The 21,036-nt window shown below is 53.1% G+C and overlaps 2 protein-coding genes across 3 annotated transcripts in view, besides 4 other annotated features; one reads left to right on the top strand and one right to left on the bottom strand.

Annotated features, from left to right (window-relative positions):
- LMOD1 (leiomodin 1) overlaps positions 1-12,861 on the top strand; it is a 50,093-nt gene extending 37,232 nt beyond the window's left edge. The window contains exons 2-3 of the mRNA NM_012134.3: positions 8,566-10,080; positions 10,919-12,861. Coding sequence (NP_036266.2) covers positions 8,566-10,080; positions 10,919-10,945 — 1,542 coding nt within the window. The 3' untranslated portion in view covers positions 10,946-12,861. The remainder of the gene's footprint in view (positions 1-8,565; positions 10,081-10,918) is intronic.
- Positions 13,106-13,175: an enhancer, noted in NCBI's record as "active region_2324". NCBI's record gives its function as "activates an Ori minimal core promoter by ATAC-STARR-seq in GM12878 lymphoblastoid cells {active_cell/tissue: GM12878}" and the evidence as "EXISTENCE:reporter gene assay evidence [ECO:0000049][PMID:35858748]".
- Positions 16,730-20,640, bottom strand: SHISA4 (shisa family member 4). 2 transcript variants are annotated; one of them, NR_030775.2, is made up of 5 exons: positions 20,536-20,640; positions 19,701-19,872; positions 18,730-18,863; positions 17,749-17,916; positions 16,730-17,517 (listed from the first exon to the last, which is right to left on the bottom strand). NR_030775.2 is itself a non-coding variant. In NM_198149.3 (5 exons), exons 1-5 carry the CDS (start codon positions 20,320-20,322, stop codon positions 17,471-17,473), a joined length of 594 nt encoding a protein of 197 aa, NP_937792.2. In that variant the 5' UTR covers positions 20,323-20,419; the 3' UTR covers positions 16,730-17,470. The 2 variants fall into 2 exon arrangements, 1 of the variants encoding a protein (NP_937792.2); NM_198149.3 differs by lacking the exon at positions 20,536-20,640 and adding an exon at positions 20,250-20,419.
- Positions 20,282-20,576: an enhancer, noted in NCBI's record as "tiled region #2190; K562 Activating non-DNase unmatched - State 4:PromP". NCBI's record gives its function as "activates a minimal TATA promoter and a strong SV40 promoter by Sharpr-MPRA in K562 cells {active_cell/tissue: K562}" and the evidence as "EXISTENCE:reporter gene assay evidence [ECO:0000049][PMID:27701403]".
- Positions 20,282-20,926: a biological region, named in NCBI's record as "Sharpr-MPRA regulatory region 2190".
- Positions 20,417-20,926: an enhancer, noted in NCBI's record as "H3K4me1 hESC enhancer chr1:201857519-201858028 (GRCh37/hg19 assembly coordinates)". NCBI's record gives its function as "activates a minimal SCP1, AML or CMV promoter by ChIP-STARR-seq in primed H9 embryonic stem cells {active_cell/tissue: H9 hESC(primed)}" and the evidence as "EXISTENCE:reporter gene assay evidence [ECO:0000049][PMID:30033119]".

Here is a 21,036-nt window from a genome sequence, read left to right as displayed (position 1 = left end):
CTCACACCTGAGACCCCATCATCTGCAGACATTTTGCCAGGGGGCTGCATGCTACGCCCCACCCCCACGAGTTGCCTCACACACTCACAAGTGGGTTGGCTCCTGGAGTGCAGTGAGAAGCCACCGAGAGGTCAGGCAGGGTGGGAATGGAGCAGTATGGGCATCTGGGATGCCTGCAGGAGCACAGCTTTTCGTAGCTTCATGACTGCATGGGCCTTAGCTTCTCAGCCCACATTTTACCAGGTATACATGTTCCCCTGGGGGGTGCCCTGGATGACCCTTCTGAAGCCCTGAGCATGTGGGAGGCTGTGCCCACATGGCCAGCATTCTTCTGCGGAATGAGAGCACAAGCCTCCAGCGTTGCTTGTCAGGTTTATTGGGTGCGGATTGGGTCGCATGCTGTCTATCAACAGGGCCTAAGGTTGGGAGCAGGGAATGGCTGAGAGCTCTGAGGGCTCTGGAGTTGAGGGGCCATGCTGGGGCCATGTGGGAAGAGCCTGACTCCCTTCCATTTCGGACAGTTTCCATGTGGGTTATTTGGGGATGGTGCACTTTGCTGTCATCACCAAGCATTTCCAGAGTACCTGCGGTGTGTAAACCCCCTTGCTGAGTGTTCTTACTCTCTCCTGCCTTGGTCAGGGGCTGGGAGCTCCAGCTATGCAGTGCTGTCAGTAGTCTCGGAAAGTACACAAGAAGGCCGCCCTGTAGCACCCCCACAACATATACCAAAGCCCCCAACCCCAAATTAGGAATTCTGTGTTGAGCCCCTGTTTTTCAGGGGATTAACTGTGCTCCAGTATGGGCAGGAGCTGAGCATCTGTTTGGGTTTTTGTGTATAAGCCCTTGAACATTCCCAAAAGTATGTTTCCAGAGATGTTAACCTAAGGGGGTGAGGTTATACTTGCACTCCATCCTCACTTGTCATTTTCTTCTCCCTTCTCCAACCCCATTTCTGGGTCACAGTTTCCCCAGAAGTCTCTTATAACTTGGAGGGGTGAATGGAAGGGTTCCCTTAGAACTCATCCAGCACAGGCCAGTGGAGACAGCCAATGTTTCACCAGAGTGGGGGCTTTGAAGTAGCGGAAGCAGGTATGGGATGGGCTGGGAAGGGTCAGAGCTGGGATAACCAAAAAAGAGGGTTGCTGGCAGGTGCTGAGACCTAGTCCCTGAGCCACTGCCAGAACAGGAGTTGAAGAACTTCAGTCTGAGAATGGCTAAGAAAGGGGCTGCTGGCCTTTTGGGGGAGGCTGCAGTGATTCTGTGGCTGGCCTGAAGGAATGCTGTTGGCTGAAGCGGTAGCTCTTCAGCAGCGGGGAGGCCTGCTCTATGGTGGGGGGCATGCCCTCAACACCCTCTGCTACATACACTTTGATGTGAACTTGTCCCCTGGTCGGCCACGTCCCCTAAGTTGTGAGGGCAAGACTGTTTCTCATGTAGCACTGTGTCCCTCATACAGTGTTGACAGAAGCCTCTTGGTGAATGGGGCCGTGAATGGATGAACGAGCAAGGCCCGCAGCAGGATTCTTGGTGGAATGGCTTGAGAGGACAGACTCCTGGCACCCACAGGGCCCAACAAGTGTAGCTCCCTACAAGTGCTAGTTGCTATTGTTGGTGGGGATAATACCTGTCCCTATCCCACTCCACCCTGGCCTCTGTCACCATAGGACTGGGGTGGGTTTGGGGGAGGCTTCTCAAAGCAGCCTCATCCCTTCCCAGCTTGTAGCCCTCCAGGCAGGTCTCCAGGGCTTAATACATGGTCATTTCATTTTCCATGGAAAAGCACACAATGTAGTTCCATTCTGGGTAAGAACAAATTTCACCCTGCTAAACAATACCAAGATACTAAGCAAAGGGGGCAGGGGCTCAGATAGGAGGAGGTTGGGGCCCTACTGCCTGCCCTCGAGGCTTAATCACTTCTCAGAAGGACCCAGATTTTTACAGCCTATCTCCTATTCAAGGCTTTCTTGTCATCGGGATCTAGGTTTGAGTCCTGGTTCTACCACTTACAACCCAGTGAGGATCCCCAGAGGGATCAGTCCCATTGTACATATGAGACAACAGGTTCAGAGGTGCTAAGTGTCTCAGCCAAGGTCACAGAGCTAGTTAGGGGCAGAGCTGGGATTTGCACATAGGCCAACTGTCTAAAGACCCAGTGGGCTCATATGCCACTATGGGCAGAACTTTTCCGGAACAGCCCCCAGTTTTCCTGGCAGCCGTAAAGGGAACCTGTAGTTTTCTAGGGGCAATATCAGTTGTTACAAGATCTGAATCTTTGATGTCTAATGAGCTGGGCCTAGCCTCAGTAGAGGACTCCTGCTCCACATTCCACCAAGGGAAACAGGCATTACGGCCCCTACCCAGGACAGCTGGTGCCAGGAATCCAACTTTCCCCATAGGACAATGGACCTCCCTTAAACTTGTCTATATATTTATTTATTTATTTTAAATAGAGACAGAGTCTCACTCACTATGTTGCCCAGGCTAGTCCTGAACTTCTGGGCTCAAGCAGTCCTCCTGCCTCAGCCTCCCAAAGTGACAGGATTACAGGGGTCAGCCACTGTGCCTGGCCCCTCCTTAAACTTCTTTTCCAGAGACTCTAGAATCTTTCTTTTTGGTGGAAAACAATAAAAGATTTGGCACTCCACATGGAATGCGGCAGGAGACTGCAGTGGGTGAACTCCCCCGGTCCCTTCCAGCCCTGGGCCCTGCTGCCTGCCCTGCCCTGCACACCAGCCCTGTAAGGCATCTGCTGTCCCAGGGGACCTTTGACAGGCCCTCCAGCCCATAGTCAGCTCTTCCCTGCCCTCCCTTGTAAAGATAGATGAGACTGGCAGCTGCAGTGCCTGGTATCAGGAAGTCCCTAGGTGGCTGGAGGGAGTGGGCCAGAGCCCCAGTTCTTGGTGGGACAGCTTCATGGGAAATGCAGGGGAATGTTCAGGGGCTCTGAGACATGGTGGAGGCGGGTGGGGGGACTGATGCAGGATGCGGATGGACAGGTGGTAAGGAGTTTGTGCATGAGAGTGGGACTGGGAGATGTCACATATTTCCCTGGGGCTTTCCTGGTAAATATAACTTTGGTCAAGGAGAAACCAGCAGTAGGCCACAGCCTAGGCCAAGGTAAAAATGCTGTCTTCTAATGAGCTCCAGATCCACACAGACTGTAGCTTTAATGTCCTAGGGGACTTTAGCCAAGGCCTAGAAAAAGTCTCCTAGAAGCAGAGTTTGGAGACCCCATAGATCCTACCCTCAGCCAGGAGCTCGAGCTAGGGGCATTCCGGATGCCTCCAGATGAAAAGACTGCACAGGTATCACCAGGCCACATTGAGGGGACGTAGCAAGGGTGGCATCAAACCGTCGGAACTGCCATCACCTCGGTCTTGCTTTGGGAAAGGAACAAATACTTCTGAATTCACGGCAGTGGTATCACCTGTGAGGGTGCAGTCAATGCTAGTCAGCCCTGCCCTCCTTGGCTCTGCCCTCTCCTAGGCGAGTGCCTGGAAAGTGACCTCTGCAAGCACAGGCAGACTCATCTTCCAACCTCCTGCTGGAGCCATTCTCCCCAGGGTCTGTCTGCAGACTTCCTCCCTTGCAGCTACATGGGTCCAAATGACTCTGCAGAGAGGGAGATGCCTCCTCCTCAGGTGATGGGTCACAGGAAGGAAGAAGGTGACCTCAGTGGGGGACGGTGTGGGCTGGCAAGGTATCAGTGGGCTGTGGTTGCCGAATGCAGCACACAGAGGCTCTGGCCCTTGCTCTCAGCAAGTTCTCATTTTAAACTTTCTGGATAGACAAATAATCCTTTTCCTCTCATCTTTTGCCAATGGAGGTGGTGAAATGTTCTCTCCTCTGTTTAATCAGATAAGACTTCTAAAGAAAGCAGCATCAGAAGGGCCAAGGTAAGGGAGAAAATGCTGTGCTCTGCCCATCTGAACCTATCAAAGGCATTAAACTTGGATCCTAACGCACGTGGCAGACACAGAGCAACATCATGTAGCCATAAGGCCTGGAGGAGATGGGGGCAAGGAGCCGTTTCTTACTCTGAGCCCAATCACTAGGTACCTCAATGTGTCACAGGTCAGTACCGGCTTTCAGAGGTCATCCTTTCCATTCCCCTGCCTCCAACCAGGGACTCCCAAACCACCCCTGCGGGCTTCCCCTAACCCTAATGCTTTTCGCAAAGGGAAAAAATAACTGTTGCTACCTAGTTTTCTCATCAAGAGGCCTGTGGACCTTTACTGCATGGAAGTTCTTTGTTATATCTAACCTAAATTCCTCCTGCTATAAGGGATAGACAGTTGAGTAAGGTCTAGCGACAGAAACACAGGCAAAAATAACCTCTGGAGGTCACCGGGATGTACCATCAATTCTGGAAGCAAGAAGAAGTTTTCCTAGCCTCCCTTTCAGATTAGCACGAAGGAAGCAGCTCTGCTATGTGCCGGCTCCGAGGAGCTCAGCTCAACAGAAATCCCAGCCCTGGGAGGACTCTGGGCTCCTTCTCCTTTTAAGGCAACGTTTGAGTGCTCAGGGCTACACAAGCGGCAACAAGCTCCAGCCCCTCTCATTCCTGGCTATTTGGAGGAAACTGATGATTAATCAACCCTTTCCCTCCCACCCCCAGCCTGTTTTTCATTAGGTTCTTTTTAAAGTGTTGGCACACCTCCTCAAGAACAGACACTTGGCAGATCCTTGCCAACTAGGACCCCAGGGTAGGGGAGGTAACTAGGAAGGAGTGGGGAGTAGTCCTGGATTAGGATAAAGGGGAGAAGTCAGGATGTGCGGTGTCAGGGAAGAAAGAAGGTTAAATTGAGGCTGGGCGTGGTGGCTCACGCCTGTAATCACAGCACTTTGGGAGGCCGAGGCAGGTGGATCACCTGAGGTCAGGAGTTCGGGACCAGCCTGACCAACATGGAGAAACCCCGTCTCTACCAAAAATACAAAATTAGCTAGGCATGGTGGCACATGCCTGTAATCCCAGCTACTTGGGAGGCTGAGGCAGGAGAATCGCTTGAACTCAGAAGGCAGAGGTTGCAGTGAGCCGAGATTGCGGCATTGCACTCCAGCCTGGGCAACAACAGTGAAATTCCATCTCAAAGAAAAAAAGAAGAAAAGAAAAGGAAAGAAAGAAAGAAGGTTAAATTGAGTCCTGGCTAGGGGTGAGAGGGAAGGGTCTGAATGGGAGTCCTAGCTCTGAAGGGGGCTGCGTGAAAAGAGGAGGCTGGTGGGTGAGGCTCTGTGGGCAGCTGGGCACTTGAGTACTCCAGGGATGCTGGGTGGGCCGAGAGGAGCTGCTTTGGCCCCTGATGGGGAAGGTTAGAGATGGTTACATTGACTTGGTGGCTGTTAGTGAGACAGTCAGGTCTGAAATCCAGCTTTTCCCGAACTTGCTAGGTGAAGTCAGTTAACTCATCATCTCTCTGGATCCCCAGTTTCTCTCTGAGTGAAGCCTACAAGTGGCGTGGGAACTCTGGAAAGGGAAGCTATGCAGTGCACAGTGGGCTCTGAGAACTCCTGAAATGTGCACATTTTGGGAAAGGAAGGAAGAGGGGAGGGCAGGAGTCTTTGCCCTGGAGGCCTAATCTCTAGACCATGGGCCTAGAGAGGCTGGTCCCTCCAGCTCTCACCTCCAAGCTCCAAAAGTGGACAGAATCAGTGATGGAACTGCTCTCAACTTGATGGGATCAGGGAATAGGAGAGGGAATTTCCTGGTCAAACTATGGGCAGATCCTAAAAGGGCTGATCCATTGGGTTTCCTTGTTTCCATTCTATTTGCATACTCCTCTCCTTCTGTCCCTTTCAAATCAAGGTTCAGTAAGGTCACCATCACTTCTGCTCCAGGGTCAAACCCAGTTGATCTGAGGGTCAAACCCAGTTCCCTGGGGGCCTGAGTGAGTGGGAGGGGGAGCTCTCTGCCCCTTGCTCCATCACCATAGCCCCAGTGGGGCCTCCAGTGCAGCTGGACCTTGGGGCCTGCAGGGCAGGAGGCTAGAACAGATACATTCCAAGGCCCTGTCTCACTAGGCCCTGTGCCCCTTGGCTGCTTATTGTGATTCTAGCAGAGGAGCCAAGGACTCTCGCTGCTAAAAAAACCCAGGGGCTGGTCCCCAATGGCATGTGTTTGTGGTGCAGGTACAAACCGTTTCCATAGGACTCACTTTTCTTTCCATTCCCTCGGCGAAGAGCGGAGGTTGAAGAAATGCTACTTGGGCCCGAGAGTGCGACAGAGAGCTGCTTTCCTTTCTTCCCTGCCCTCTCCCCACACCCCAACCTGGCACTCTTGAAAGAAAACTTTTTAAATATTCAAACCATAGTCTCTTCCTCTTGAAAAACCTTTAGGGGAGGACATCACAGCCTCCCTTTAAGTCCCAGTTGCTCTGGGGTCACAGTTGGACAGTTAAGTCTAATGTCTACTCTATGTCTAATGTCTAACTCTGCCACTTCCTCTGCTTCTCTGATGAAGACGAGAAGCAAGTGCTCTCAAAACAGGGCTCAGGCTCGGTGCAACCTTACGGAGGAAGAAACAGGGATCCATGGAGGTGTGGGTGGCTTATGCTGTGTATAAAACTCAAGCCCCCAGCCTGGCGCGGCGGCTCACGCCTGTAATCCCAGCACTTTGGGAGGCCGAGGTGGGTGGATCATGAGGTCAGGAGTTCGAGACCAGCCTGACCAACATGGTGAAACCCTGTCTCTACTAAAAATACAAAAATTAGCTGGGCATGGTAGTGTGCACCTGTAATCCCAGCTACTCAGGAGGCTGAGGCAGGAGAATCACTTGAACCCGGGAGGCAGAGGTTGCCATGAGTCAAGATTGCGCCATCACACTCCACCCTGGGTGACAGAGCAAGATTCTGTCAAAAACAAACAAACAAACAAACCAAAAAAAACCTCAAGCCCCCATCACAGCTCAACTGACTTGGTCCCATGGCCTCTCTCACAAACTTCTCAGTGTCTCGGGGGTCAAAATTGAGTCATAGAATCCAAGATCTAGAATCTGGCAGAGTCTTCCAGAGATCAGCTGACCCAATGAATTCCAGGGCTCTCCACAGAGAGATGCTTGTCCTTAGCTAAGTTTTTACTAAAAATAAGGACAATACTGTGAATTTAAAAAAATACACATATTTGCTGTTAAGGTATATTCTTTACTCTGTTATGCCTACCTTCTTTAAAATTAGCTCCTTCTTATTTTAATGAGATGATGATGGTAGATAGAATTTTAAAATATCGGATGGGCATGGCAGCTCACACCTGTGATCTCAGCACTTTGGGAGGCTGAGGTGGGAGGACTGCTTGAGGATAGGATTTTGAGTCCAGCCTGGGCAACATAACAAGACCCCCATCTCTAAAAAAAAAAAATAATAATAATAACAATAATAATGATAATAATTTACAAATATCCTTAATTGGTAAAATAAAATGTTAGCATATGTTGATCCCTCTACCTTTTTTTCCTTTGGAAATGTATTGCCTTATAAAATTTCTGTATCTCAGAACTATTGGCCTACTCCTTAAAAGCAGGGGCCAGGACTAAGGTGAAGGGATGTGAGGCACTCACCTTGGGCACAGAATATAAGCGGATGCCAAAAACTCAGTGAGCAAGATAACTGATGTTTTCACATATATATATATATACACATATATATATGTGTATATATATATATACACATATATATGTATATATATATATATATACACACACACATATATATGTGTATATATATATATACATATATATATGTATATATATATATATATATACATATATATATGTATATATATATATATATATATACATATATATATATATATATTTTTTTTTTGAGACAGAGTTTCGCTCTTGTTGCTTAGGCTGGAGTGCAATGGTGCAGTCTTGGCTCACCACAACCTCCACCTCCCAGGTTCAGGTGATTCTCCTGCCTCTGCCTCCCGAGTAGCTGGGATTACAGGCATGCACCACCATGCCTGGCTAATTTTGTATTTTAGTAGACACAGGTTTCTCCATGTTGGCCAGGCTGGTCTCAAACTCCCGACCTCAGGTGATCCACCTGCCTCAGCCTCCCAAAGTGTTGGGATTACAGGCATGAGCCACCGCGCCCGGACTTCATGTATATTTTTAAAAATAAAACGAATGCAAAAAGTCCACAATAAACACCAATGCAAAATTTTAAAGACAGGATCAGTGTTAGTATTTCTCCTTTTGCCTCAGGTTCCAATGTGCTTGGCAGGGCATTGCTTGGAAGCAGTCCTTCTAAATCACCCATGATAGGAAAGGGCAATTCTGGGTCTGAGAATACTCCATAAAAGGAACTGCCACAACCTTTGCAGGTATTTGTTTGGTTGTCTCACAACCCTGAGGCCTTGAGTCTGATGTCATCCCATTTCTGCAGCTTAAACCTGAGTCCCTCTTTTGCTGCCCTCAATGGAGACATCCACCCCACTCTCCCAAACAGCACAACTGTCCTTCAGAGGCTCAAGGGCAGTTATGTAAGCGCTCCCCCACACATCCCCATACTCATTCCTCTCCCTCTGTAGCCAGCTTTTCATGATTATTTTTCTTTTCTGAATTCTTAGGAAAGCAAGCAAGTGGAGACCAAGACAGATGCCAAGAATGGAGAGGAAAGGGGCAGAGATGCCAGCAAAAAAGCCCTGGGCCCCAGACGGGACTCAGATCTGGGGAAGGAGCCAAAGAGGGGTGGTTTAAAGAAAAGCTTCTCTAGAGACAGAGATGAAGCTGGTGGCAAGAGTGGCGAGAAGCCCAAGGAGGAGAAGATCATCCGGGGCATTGACAAGGGCCGGGTCAGGGCTGCAGTGGATAAGAAGGAGGCAGGGAAGGATGGGAGAGGAGAGGAGAGGGCAGTGGCCACCAAGAAGGAAGAGGAGAAGAAAGGGAGTGACAGGAACACAGGCTTGAGCAGGGACAAGGATAAAAAGAGAGAGGAGATGAAGGAGGTGGCCAAGAAAGAGGATGATGAGAAGGTAAAAGGGGAGCGTAGGAACACAGACACCAGAAAAGAGGGTGAGAAGATGAAAAGAGCAGGTGGGAACACAGACATGAAAAAGGAGGATGAGAAGGTAAAAAGAGGAACTGGGAACACAGACACCAAAAAGGACGATGAAAAAGTCAAGAAGAATGAACCCTTACATGAAAAGGAAGCCAAGGATGACAGCAAGACCAAAACACCCGAGAAACAGACGCCCAGTGGCCCCACCAAGCCCTCTGAAGGACCGGCCAAGGTGGAGGAGGAGGCAGCTCCCAGCATATTTGATGAGCCTCTGGAGAGAGTGAAGAACAATGACCCCGAGATGACTGAGGTGAACGTCAACAACTCAGACTGCATCACAAATGAGATCTTGGTCCGGTTTACTGAGGCTCTGGAGTTCAACACTGTGGTTAAGCTGTTCGCCTTGGCCAACACGCGAGCCGATGACCACGTGGCCTTTGCCATTGCCATCATGCTCAAGGCCAACAAGACCATCACCAGCCTCAACCTGGACTCCAACCACATCACAGGCAAAGGCATCCTGGCCATCTTCCGGGCCCTCCTCCAGAACAACACGCTGACCGAGCTCCGCTTCCACAACCAGCGACACATCTGTGGAGGCAAGACGGAGATGGAGATCGCCAAGCTGCTGAAGGAGAATACTACCCTGCTCAAGCTGGGCTACCATTTTGAGCTGGCCGGGCCCCGAATGACTGTCACCAATCTGCTCAGCCGCAACATGGACAAGCAGAGACAAAAGCGGCTGCAGGAGCAAAGGCAGGCACAGGAAGCCAAGGGAGAGAAGAAGGATCTGCTGGAGGTACCCAAGGCCGGGGCCGTGGCTAAGGGCTCCCCAAAACCTTCACCTCAACCATCTCCAAAGCCCTCTCCAAAGAACTCACCCAAAAAAGGGGGTGCTCCAGCTGCCCCACCACCCCCTCCCCCTCCCTTGGCTCCACCCCTTATCATGGAGAACCTGAAGAATTCACTCTCACCAGCTACCCAGAGGAAGATGGGAGACAAAGTCCTCCCTGCCCAGGAGAAGAACTCCCGTGACCAGCTATTGGCTGCCATCCGCTCCAGCAACCTCAAGCAGCTCAAGAAGTTAAGTAGTTGTGGGCATGAGCCAACAGGGCGGGGCTGGGTAGGGCCTGGAGGAGAGGGTAGGACTGCAAAAGGGAAGGCATGCAGAGGAGCTTATGTCGGCTGCAGATGATATAGACTCCCAGGGCCCATAGGGGACTTCAGGTCATCTCATGCATCCTCCTGCCTGCAGGCAGGTCACACCTGTATATCCCCTAGAGCTGAGACTCTACCCTTCCTTTAAGGAGCTTCCTTTAATACCTCACTCCATGCTTCTCTTTCATTCTGCAATGAAGCCTGTTTCTCCTTAAAATGGAGAAATGGCCTCTACAGAGTAGTTTTGCCTCGGGTCCTTCCTTTAAGTCTTCTCCATTTCCCCAAACAAAAATGATCCACGTTTTACTTAGCCTCCTCTCAGGACCAGCCAAGTCCTACAGGTCAGTCCATCCGAAAGGTCTCTGGGAGATTCACCTCTCAGGAGAGTCTACCTTTGCCTAGCCAGTGCCATGGACACAGGAGCCATCCCTGGACACCCTACTTCTCCAAGCCCTGCCTCCCCTGGAAGTCTGGCCTGGGTGACAAAGTCCACGATCGTTTGTCCATTTGGTTGGATACCCAACCCCCACAACATCATCTGGGACAAGGTATCATGAGATAAAGGAAAATCTCAATTGTAATTCCAGTGGTCACTCAATGACATCCAATTTTTACAGACAATGAAAAATGCTCCCTCAGTGTCAACACCTCATTCACATTCCACAGACATAACATATTGCAGTGTCTTGTGTGTCCTTCCAGTAGGGAGGGAGGTGAGGTGGCTGAGCTCCCTTCTCTAACCTGTCTCTACTTTGCCCCTACAGGTGGAAGTGCCCAAACTGCTTCAGTAGGACCAGGCTGCCAGGCACCATCTGCCAATGCCATGACTGCTCAGGCCTCACCTCCCAGGGCTACACAGACCCTGCCCACCCCATCCCTGGCTGACCTGCTGTGGATGTCCCTATTCTGCCATGGGAGAGTCCAGGCCTGGGTCACGCTCAAGGAAGGATGCCTTATCTCTTCTCACTTTCCTTTTCTTGTCTCTGAGGCTCTCCAAATTTTGCTTTAGTACATGGAGCTCAGGTTTCTGGACAAGAAGAGTCCTTTTAGCACATCACTGAGAAGATGGCACTGTCCAGGGCCCATGTAGCTGGCAAGCTGCAAAAGGCCTGTGATCCAGGAAAGATGTCCCACAGGGACCACATCCACCCCAGCCCCACTGCCCTCCAGGGCCAGGATTCAGGCCTCTGAGGAGCCCACGGGGCAAAGCTGCTGGGCCAGTGGCACTCTGTGTGGGAAAATGGCAGAAAGATGGAGAGGCATGGGGGCCCAAAGGGGAGCGTGGGGAGGGGCTGAGGATACCCCAAAGTCCAGGCTAATTAGAGGATGTGGCAGGGGCAGTGGCCTGGATGCACAGTGCCTGATGGGAGTAGGCTCCAGACAGGAGGAGTGGGACAGACAGCAGCTGGACTTGAAGGTTTGATGCCAAAGCAGACATTTTCCTCACACCCACCTGCTGCTGTATGAATAGCTGTGTATCTGTTTTTCCATAAGATTTTGATAATATATACAAACCTTTAGCTGTGAATGGCTGTGCCCCACCTGTTGTCCTGAACTGTGAGTCCTGATCCTAACCCTGGGCTCCCTGGAGGACTCTAGAAGCTCAGGTTCCCTGCCACACTATTTGAGTTGGCCAAGAAATAAATTCACATCCTCAGAAAGTGCAGCATGGAGGAAAATCTGAACTCTAAGCAGAAGACTCTCCACTGACCTGGTTGTCCAGGTCTAGAAGGCCAGGCCTCTACTAGGTCTGCTCCTGAACCAGTCCTGCTGCCTGGAGTCAGTAGCCAGAGTTGTTCTCAGGGGTGCTGGGGCAGAGTGGAGCCCAGGGTGCTGGGATGGCTATATTAGGCATGTTCAGGGATGCTCATTCCATGACTCTGCCTAACCATGGGCTCAGGGCCAGGTCCTCACAGCAGTCACAGGCCCAGGAAGGCGGCAGGCAGAGAAGTGGAGTGACTATTTGGAGAATAGCACCCATATCTGTGTGCCCTAGGGCTCAGAGGGGCCTCATCTTCCCCAGCCCTCCCCACCTGCTCACCAATTCCACTTCCTGCCCCAACTGCAGGAATGCTGACAATGCTGCCATGCCCACCATCGGGTGTAGGTGAAAGGCATCTTTCTGAATTTCATTCTCTTGAAGGTGCTGCCACCCCTTGGCACTGTGGAACTGCCACCTTGGGTCTGTGTCACTTGTAGGTTTCTCTGCCTCCAGGTTGCCTCAACAGCAGGAGGCACAGCAGTTTCACCATCTTTGAGGTGAGGGTGGGGTGCCCCAGCTAGGAAGCAAGATCGCTGTGCTAGGTCTGACCAAAACCAGAGGGCAGTCTAGTCCTGGGGGTAAAGCCCTCAGATCCCAGGGTACACTCTTCTCCATTCCCTCCACCCACTTGCCTGTCACCCCAGTCACCTAAGCAATCACTGGGCCCAGAGGAGAGGAGACAGACACACACTGGCTCCTGGACCTAAAGGGTATGAGCTGGAGCTAAGGCCAGCTAGAGCTTCCACTGTCAGCCCTCACTGTCAGTCCCACTGCACCCCCCTGTGCCTGCTGGGCACTGGGCACTAGCTAGATGCTTTAGGTTGCTTCAGCTGATCCTTCAACTCTGTGAGGTGGATACCAATATTCTATTTTGCAGATAGAATTTGGCCCAGAGAGGTTAACTAATATATCCATGATCACACAGCTAATAAAAGTCAGAGCTCAGGTCTGTTTTGTTTGTTGGTTTTGTTTTGAGCCCAGGTCTTCAGGCCATAGAACTGCTTCTCATTAACAGCTCCCCTTCCTTCCCTCACTGAAATAAGGCTGTGACGGTGCTGCAGGAAAGCACTGGACGCTCACCTGAACCCAAACAACCTGCCTCCAAATCTTAAGGGTCCAATAGAACCTGTCACCTTAGGAAGCCCTTTCTACCAAACTTCAAACATGATTTAGCCAGAGAGAAAAACCACTCCCTACTGTCCTGAGCAACAAGTGAGCTGCCCTCTTCCTCGGTGCTCCCGCGGTGGGGATGCTGTTTCCGTCCTGGATGATGTCATCACTCCTCTAGTGCACTTGAACCTGGTGCGGGAGCACAGCGCCACCTGGGGGTGGACCGCAACCCAGATTCTCCAGCTGCTCCAGGGGTGCCCTGGAGCTGTGCTAGGGACCAGGGGAGGGAGGCAGTTAGAGGGAGGGGGAGGAAAAGATGGGCAGATAGCCTGGTGAGCTTCGGAAAAGGGGCCCAAACTCTGGAGGCTGTGTTTCTGCTGCGCCACGCACCCACTGCTGCCCACCTGCCCCACCAACACTGGCAGTCACCCATCTATCCTGCTTCCTTTCCTAAAACTTAGAGAGGGAAATCCAGAAAGGCTCTATCCTTGTCTGGTGCCTGTACTGTACAAGGACAAAAAAAGAGGTTCGAAGATAGAAAATGACTTGTCGAAGTTGATGAATCAGGATTTGAACCCAAGTCTCTTATCTCTGGGTTCATCTAGCAACCTGGATGAAGCCACGGTCTGACCTCCACGGTCTCTGCCTGCAGCCCCCACTGTCATATCCTCCACTCTGCCCCCCCACCCTCCATCACTTCCTGGAGAATCACATTCCCTAGCTCCTACCTGCAAGGAAGGGAGGCTTCACCTCTCAGCTCTCCCGGCCCGCAGGGCCCAGCCGTTGCACCCCAAGCTTCTTGCCTCCTGGTCCTATCCAGATGGGAAAAGCGTCTTTCCCTCCACCTTCCCAGCACTGGGACCTAGGCCCTGGTGCTGGCTGTGGGTGGGATGGCAGGCACCAGCAGCTGCCAAGGCGCTGGCCTCACTTGTCCTTACAGAAGCTCAACCTGCAGGTGAGCAAGGGGCTCTAGGCCTGGGCACTGTGTCACACATGTGGCACTCTTTAAGAAACATGAGATCTGGATGCAGGTCACCCATGAGCTTCTGGACCACCAAGTCGGGAGTGCCATGTGCTGCCCCCTACCCTTCACCCTGCATGGCCAGGCTGGGGCTCCTGACCTCTGAGTTTGGCCTAACTAGGGCCTGTGTTGCTGTGGTGCTGGGCTAGGCTGCTGGCCTAAGAGTGGCCAAGAGAGTGTGGCCCCCCTCAGCACCCTTCCCCCAGCACCTCCCACTCATCCTGTCTATGCCCCTCCTACCCCTCCCTCCCTCCCTCCTTCCTCCAGCCCTCTAGGGCCCTTCCCTTACTTGCCCCTCCCTCCTTTACTCTTTGCCTGAAGTACCTCCCTTCTGTTCACCTCTTGTGGGGGGCTCCCCTTCTCCCCTCACCCAAGGTGTCTCTCCTTTCTTGCCAACCTTTCTCCCCCTGCCCATTGTATTTCCATGTGTCCCTGCCCTAGCTCCTTCCCCTGCACCTGACCCCTCCCATCCACCTGTGAGATCCGCTTTCCCTTGAGCAGGCCCAGCCTGGCAAGATTCCTGCCCTAAGAATGCACTCCTCTTGCTTTTGTCTAAAAATGCCCCTCTTCTCCACATGTGCCTTCCAGACCGCCCTTTGGGGGATTCACCATTCCCTCCCAGCCTAGCAGGACCCTATTGACACTATTGAGGTCCCCCAATCCTTGAGGGACACTGCCCCTCCCACCCTCACTCCTGCCTGCCCTTATAGAGTGCCTGATTGGCTTTCAGGGGTGCTAGCTGAGGAACAAGGCGATCCGGAGGGGCAACTACAGCTTTGTACTCCCCTGGCCCTGCTGGGCTCCCCTTGTTTCCCAGATGATGAGTCAGATGAGGTGGGGTCAGAGGAGACTGCAGTGGTTTGGGAAGAGACGTAGGGGTGATTGCCTCCATTTAAAGAACTCCAGGATATGTGAGAGACCTCTTCACTGCTCAGAGCATGTGAAAGTCCTACTCTGTCACAGTTTTGCTCCTTTTCTTAGAATTCTCTTCAGTGTTTTGCAGAGTTAGTTGACTGGAAATGGGGCAACTCTACTCTTCCAGTCTCAGCTATGGCTAGGGTAAACCTGCCTCCTATCCCAGACTACAAAGCATTTTTTCATTGGCACCAGGTTGTTGATTCAAGGATAATTAATTCTGACTGGCATCACCTTGCATACATTTACACATCATTTCTCGGAGAAACTAAAAAACCTTAATATGTAGATCTCTTCCAGCTCCCAGCTTCAGGAGAGAGGAGACTGCACTCCAAACCTCAGATGACTTGGAGACCCTCTTTCCTAAATTGTGAAGCCAGGCACTCCAGGGCTCCAGCTCCCACCTCTTGTCCCCACCCTCAAAGAGAAAGAGGATTTGTACCTGTGGCCTCAGCTCTGTCTCTACCAGCATCAGCAGCCCCTCCCTGTCTGGGTCTGATCCAGGGGCAGACATGTGGGCCCCATGAAGATTTCACTGGGAAGGGGAAAGCCATGAATCTAGGGGCAGAGCTCTGCCCAGGGGAATTTCTGACCCTGGCCCCAAAACCCTGGCCCAGGAGCTCTTGCCTTCCAGGCTGCGTGACAAGAGATAATCCTCAAGAGTATGTGGGTGGCAGAAGGCCCTGGGGGCATGGTCAGCACAACGGCCATATCCAGAACCCAGCTGGGCTGCAGGATCCCAGAGGTCTGAGCGGGCAGGGCAGGAGAGCAAAGCCTGAGGCTGCAGTGGGGCTGGAGTACCTGTGGATGGGGAGAAAAGGAGGGCTGGGCTTAGAGGATACTTGGATAAGGGGCTTGGAGAGGGGAGGGGCTCTTCATTGGTGGGGCTTTGCCAAGCTGAGCTGACACTTTTCCCACTTGAGTTAAAAACAATAAAACTTCCTTCCCTGGATCTGTCACCAGACAAGTCCTGAGAGCACAAGGACCATGACCCCAGGGAACAAGGAGAGGGAAGACAGCCAGGCAGCTCCAGAGGTAGGGGGGCTCTTCTAGGCAATATTTGTGGGAGGAGGGGGAGAAAAGGTCATATCCCCCACTGTGTGGCTCAGTGGGGGTCACAGACATGGGCCTGGGGACTGGCAACCCAAGCAGCTGACAGAAGCACCTTGCACCAGATTCTTGGGTCACCCAGTGTCTCTACCTGGCTCCTAGTTCTAGGATCTCTAATCAGGAAGGAAAGCACAGGACTAACAGTTTCATGTACATACTATTTCACCCTCCTGACAGCCATGGGGTATTATCCCCATTTGATTTATTTATTTATTTATTTTTATTTATTTATTTAGAGACAGATCCTGGTTCTGTTGCCCAGGCTGGAGTACAGTGGCGCAATCTCGGCTCAATGTAACCCCAGCCTCCTGGGTTCAAGCGATTCTCCTGCCTTAGCCTCCCGAGTAGCTGGGATTACAGGCGCCTGCCACAATGCCTGGCTAATTTTTTTTTGTATATTAGCAGAGACAGGGATTCACCATGTTGGCCAGGCTGGTCTTGAACTCCTGACCTCAGGCGATCCCCCCCCCTTGGCCTCTCAAAGTACTGAGATTACAGGCATGAGCTACCGCACCTGTCCTATCTCCATTCTATAGATAAGGACATTGAGGCTTGGGAACCTTTGGAGACATGGCCAAGGTCAGAAAGTGGTGGGGCCCAGAATGAATCTAAGGGTACCTGAATGGGAACTGCCTTTGTACAGTTAGCAGTGCCTCAGCTGTTGTAGAGCTGTTGATCCCTAGCAGGGAATATCTGTAGTGCAAACGAGCATCTCTTCAGAGCTGTGGCAAAATTCACCTCATTGTCTTTAGGAAGCCTTTAGGAAGCCAGGAACAGTCCGCCTTGGTCTGCTTGTGGATGGGGGTGAGGATGGTGCTGTGCTCCGATGCTGGTGCTGGCCCTCCCCTACTTTTGGAATATGGAGTGGGCAACAGTCTGGGCCCAGCTGAAGGCGGTGTTCCTGGAAGGTGTGGATGGGTCCAATGATGCGACTGATATGAGTTATGTCTTTACAGCTTTAATCTAGCAGGCCAGAGATGTGGCCAGTGGGGCAGCCAGAGAGGAGGGCTACTGCCAGCTGCTGACGGAACCTCCTCCCTCCCCCCACCCCAGCCCAGAGGGGACAAACAGTAGGGCCCCAGCCTTCCTGGCTGGGATCTTGGGAGCAGAGGGACTATTTGAAAACAGGCACTGTGACCCAGGCTGTCATCTCCCTCCCTTGCCCCCAGTAAAAATAGCCCATAATTCCAAGCCCTCCCCCCAACCCCTCATAGTTCTAGTTCAGCTCCTGTTCCACTTCCCTGGGGCTCTGTCCCCAGTAGGGCCCAGGGCTTGGCTTGGTCTGGGGCCTGGTGGCTGGAGGACTCCTGCCACCCCCAGGACCAGATGCAGGTACAGGATGAGGGCATCTCCCAAGGTTGGCATCACTGAAGGGGCAGCAGAGACATGGCTGGTTCCTCAGGCTCCCGGGTAAGAGGGCTGTGGTGGCATATAGGGAGGAGGAGCTGAAAGCCAAAGAGACAGGATGAGGGTGAGTGGTGGCATAGGTGGACGAAAAGTAACACCCCTGCCCCCGGGGCAGACAGGACCCATAGGGAAGAGTGGGCCTGGAGGTTTCGGGCTAGAGGTGGAGGAAGTCTGGGAGAGGGAATCTGAGAATGAGAGAGGCACAGGGGAGGTCGCAGGGCAAGGGGTGGGGGAAGGCAGCAGCAAGGGGCTCCAGATTGCTTACTTACCTGCAGGGTTGTAGACTGGGGGCCCAGCTGGGTAGAGTGGATATTGGGGAGCAGGACCACTAGGTGGGTATATGAAGCCAGGCTGTGGGGGTGCAGGGCCAGCTTTGGGGTCCTGGGGGTATGGGTATACTGGCTGCACTGGGATGCCTGTCATTGGAATCTCCTGGCCTAGATGGGGGAGAAGGATCAGCATTCAGAGACCCATCTCCTATGGGAAGCCTCCTCCTCCTGCCCAGGAAACCAAGGTAAGCACCCTGGTGCTGGCCTCTGGCAAGCTCCAGGCTGGCCATCTTTGCCTCCCACACCCTGCTTGGCAGAGTTAAGCAGGGAGCTGTGCACGTGGCCCCAGCTGGTCAATCTGTGTTGAGCAAGTTTGCTCCCCTCAGCAGGTTTCAGAGACCTCATGAACCAGGGAGCACAGCCCAGGGAATATCTCACTTGGGCAAGAAGGGGACAGCTCAGGGCTGGTATCCTGTAATCCAGCAGAGCTGCCACTAAGAGGGTCTTCTCCTAGCCCTTCCCTCCCACACTGATCTCCCGTATGGCATCACTGTCCCCATGTCCATCAGGTTGTGGCATATGTGCATCACATGCCAACACTCAGGCACATATTTTGCCATCCACTGGAGCACACTCAATTAATGTTCATCACTACAGACCTGACCCCGTGTACTTACTAAGAGTCATATGTATGCATACACCCACTGCACCCACTATTGTTGACAGACTGCACTCCTGTACACATTTGAATCTTCATGTGTATGCACAGAAATGCACACAAAGTCTGATGTTCCATATATCCCAGGCACATTCTAATATTCACGGGTTTACAAGCATTTTTCTGGGTTTTCATGCTGGCAGGTGTGTGTATACAGAAGCACATACTACTACAGAATTTACCCAATCCATGAACTCTCTGCTGCCCATTATTGGACTTAGCCCAGCCCATCTGAGGCCCTTCTTGCCCAGTACTGGGTGTACCTTCAAATGGGCTCTGGAGCTGCTGGCGCCGGCGGTACAGGTAGCAACAGGAACAGAGGAAGCAGCAGATGGTGGTGGCAACCACAGCAACAAAGAGGATCACAGCTGAGGCGATGCCTGCTATGGTCTTGGGGCTTTAGACAAAGAACAGGTCCTCTCACCTTCCAACACTCATAGGACGGAGTCCTCATTATGCTGGCTCCAACTCCTGGCCAGCAGGGGGGCCATGGCATGCTGAGATTTGGGGTTCCTTGTGGGGCTCTGCCCAGTCCCTGTGAAGGAGATCTTAGAGGACCTCCACTTCCCAGAAGGCTATGCTGCCTGGCTGGCTAGTGTGAAGCATACGGGGATTTGCAGTGCGCCCCCAACCATTGCTTTTATATCTACAACTTAAATGATTAGACATACAGCATAACACTGAAAGGAGCCTTAGAAATAATCTAGAGCCATTTTTTCCAAACCCCGCTTCAATCAGAAGTCTCTATATCTATTTTATATATGATATATTAAAAAAAAGTTTGACAACCACTAATTTGGCAAGCAATGACCCATAGAAGGCAAGTGTCTTCTCCAAGATCACACAGCTAGTAAGAAGTGGACCTGGGAATCAAACCCAAGTCTCCTGCCTTTGTGCCAGAGCTTCTTCCACAAAGCTACACTGTCGTCCGGGTGTTAACCTTGAACCCTCCCTCCCCATGACCTGGCAGGACCAAAGGGAGGGCTCCAGAAAGAACCTGGAAACCCCGGGCCCAGTCAAAGCCTATGAAGGTAACTAACATGCCTTTTCTGGAACTCCCAGGCACCAGCACCTAAGCACCTAGCTCTGCCGCCAGGCTTGAGTCCTGGTGACTCTATTCAGCTAAGAATGTGGAGGTCGACAACGGAGGAGGCAGGAGTCCGGGAGGGAGGAAGAGGAGGCCTCTGGAGAAAAGGATAGAGGAGGTGGTGAGGGTGAGGAGGCAGGAACCCACCTGAAGGCCAGGCAGTGCTTCTGCTGCCTCTCGGTGATAAGCAAGGTCAGGTCCCTGCAGCAGTACCGATGGTAGCAGGTCCCGCAGCAGAAGGTGAAGAACTCGCAGTTAAACCCCGGATGCCAGGAGCCATTCCGGTCCAGGTACCACAGGCAGTCCTCGCCGGCCAGCACTGCGGGCAGGGATTGGGGGTGCCCAGTGGCCACCAGGCCAGTTCATCCCCAGCCGCGCTCGGCCCCACTCCCCCGGCGGTCCCCAGCCTGACGGCTCCCGAACACTGAGGGTTGCCCCTTGTCTCCACCCTGAGGGTCTCAGCCCCAGAGCCCCCGAGGCCTCTGCCTGAAGCTGACCCTGCACCCCGGGATCAGCCTCCCATGGCCCAGCATCCTGGAGCTCCCTCTTCCCGCTTCTTGAGGACCCAGCAACACCCAAGGCTCCCGTGGCAGCCGGAGGGTCTCGGAGAAGCCCCGAGCCCAAGCCCCTCGGATCGGTCCCTCCCCTTCCTCCGCCCCCATCCCACTCCTGCCGCATCTCTCCCCATCCCCTTACCCAGGGGAGCCCCCAGCACCAACAGAGCGATTGCGGTGAGCGGCGCGGCCCGGCGGAGCCCCGCGGGTGGCATGGTGGGGGCTGGGCGCGGCCGGGGTCGGGCCTCCCAGAGAAGGGACCGCAGGACCAAGCCGGCCAGCTGGAGCTGCGGCGGGGCCCAGCCCGCGGCCAGGCTCGGGCTCCTCTTCCGCCTCCTCTGGGGGTGGGACTAAGCGCCCCGCCCGCGCTAACCCAGCCGGCGCGGCTCCGCGCAGCGCCCAGGAGTCCACCCACCAGCGACGCCCACCTAGCCTCTGGAGCTGGGTGCCCCTCACCCAGCAGAGCACTGCCCTGCTCCCCCTGTCCCCGGCTCCGCGGTGGTTCCTCCCATCCGAGCCACCATGGGCACTGCGGGCAGTTGGGCACTGCGGCCAGGGAAGCCTGGCTGTGTCCTGGACCCGCCCCCGGCCTGGGCCCAATCACTATGCTGGACTCCAGAAGCCCTGATCCTGGTGCCACCTCCGAATGCCCAGACACATGGGCCAACCCTGGAGGAGCAGGGCTGGACCTTCACTTGTGGGGGACCTCCTCTGCCGCGTCCAGCCTGGGACATCCTGTCGGGGGCGGAGAGGGAAAGAGGCTGGATGTCACCCCGCCCCCATTCCCAGAACACAAGCACTCATTGAGAGGCATTCAGAGTGGCTTTGTCCCCAGCGGTGCCCACAGGCCTGAACCCTGCCAGCTGCACTGGCTCCCTACGATGGACCCTTCCCCCTTCAAGTGGACAGAGCTGGCATGCACCAGCCCA

This window comes from Homo sapiens, chromosome 1 (genome assembly GCF_000001405.40).
Source record: "Homo sapiens chromosome 1, GRCh38.p14 Primary Assembly".
Taxonomy (NCBI): Eukaryota; Metazoa; Chordata; class Mammalia; order Primates; family Hominidae; genus Homo; species Homo sapiens.
This window is presented reverse-complemented; position numbering and strand designations above follow the sequence as displayed.

Coding starts and splice junctions, on each gene's coding strand:
- SHISA4 (NM_198149.3), bottom strand. CDS start 20,322: ATGCCACCCGCGGGGCTCCGCCGGGCCGCGCCGCTCACCGCAATCGCT. Junction 18,864..19,700: donor AAGCACTGCCTGGCCTTCAG/GTGGGTTCCTGC, acceptor CTTTGTCTAAAG/CCCCAAGACCATAGCAGGCA. Junction 17,518..17,748: donor CCCAGTCTACAACCCTGCAG/GTAAGTAAGCAA, acceptor TTTGGCTTTCAG/CTCCTCCTCCCTATATGCCA.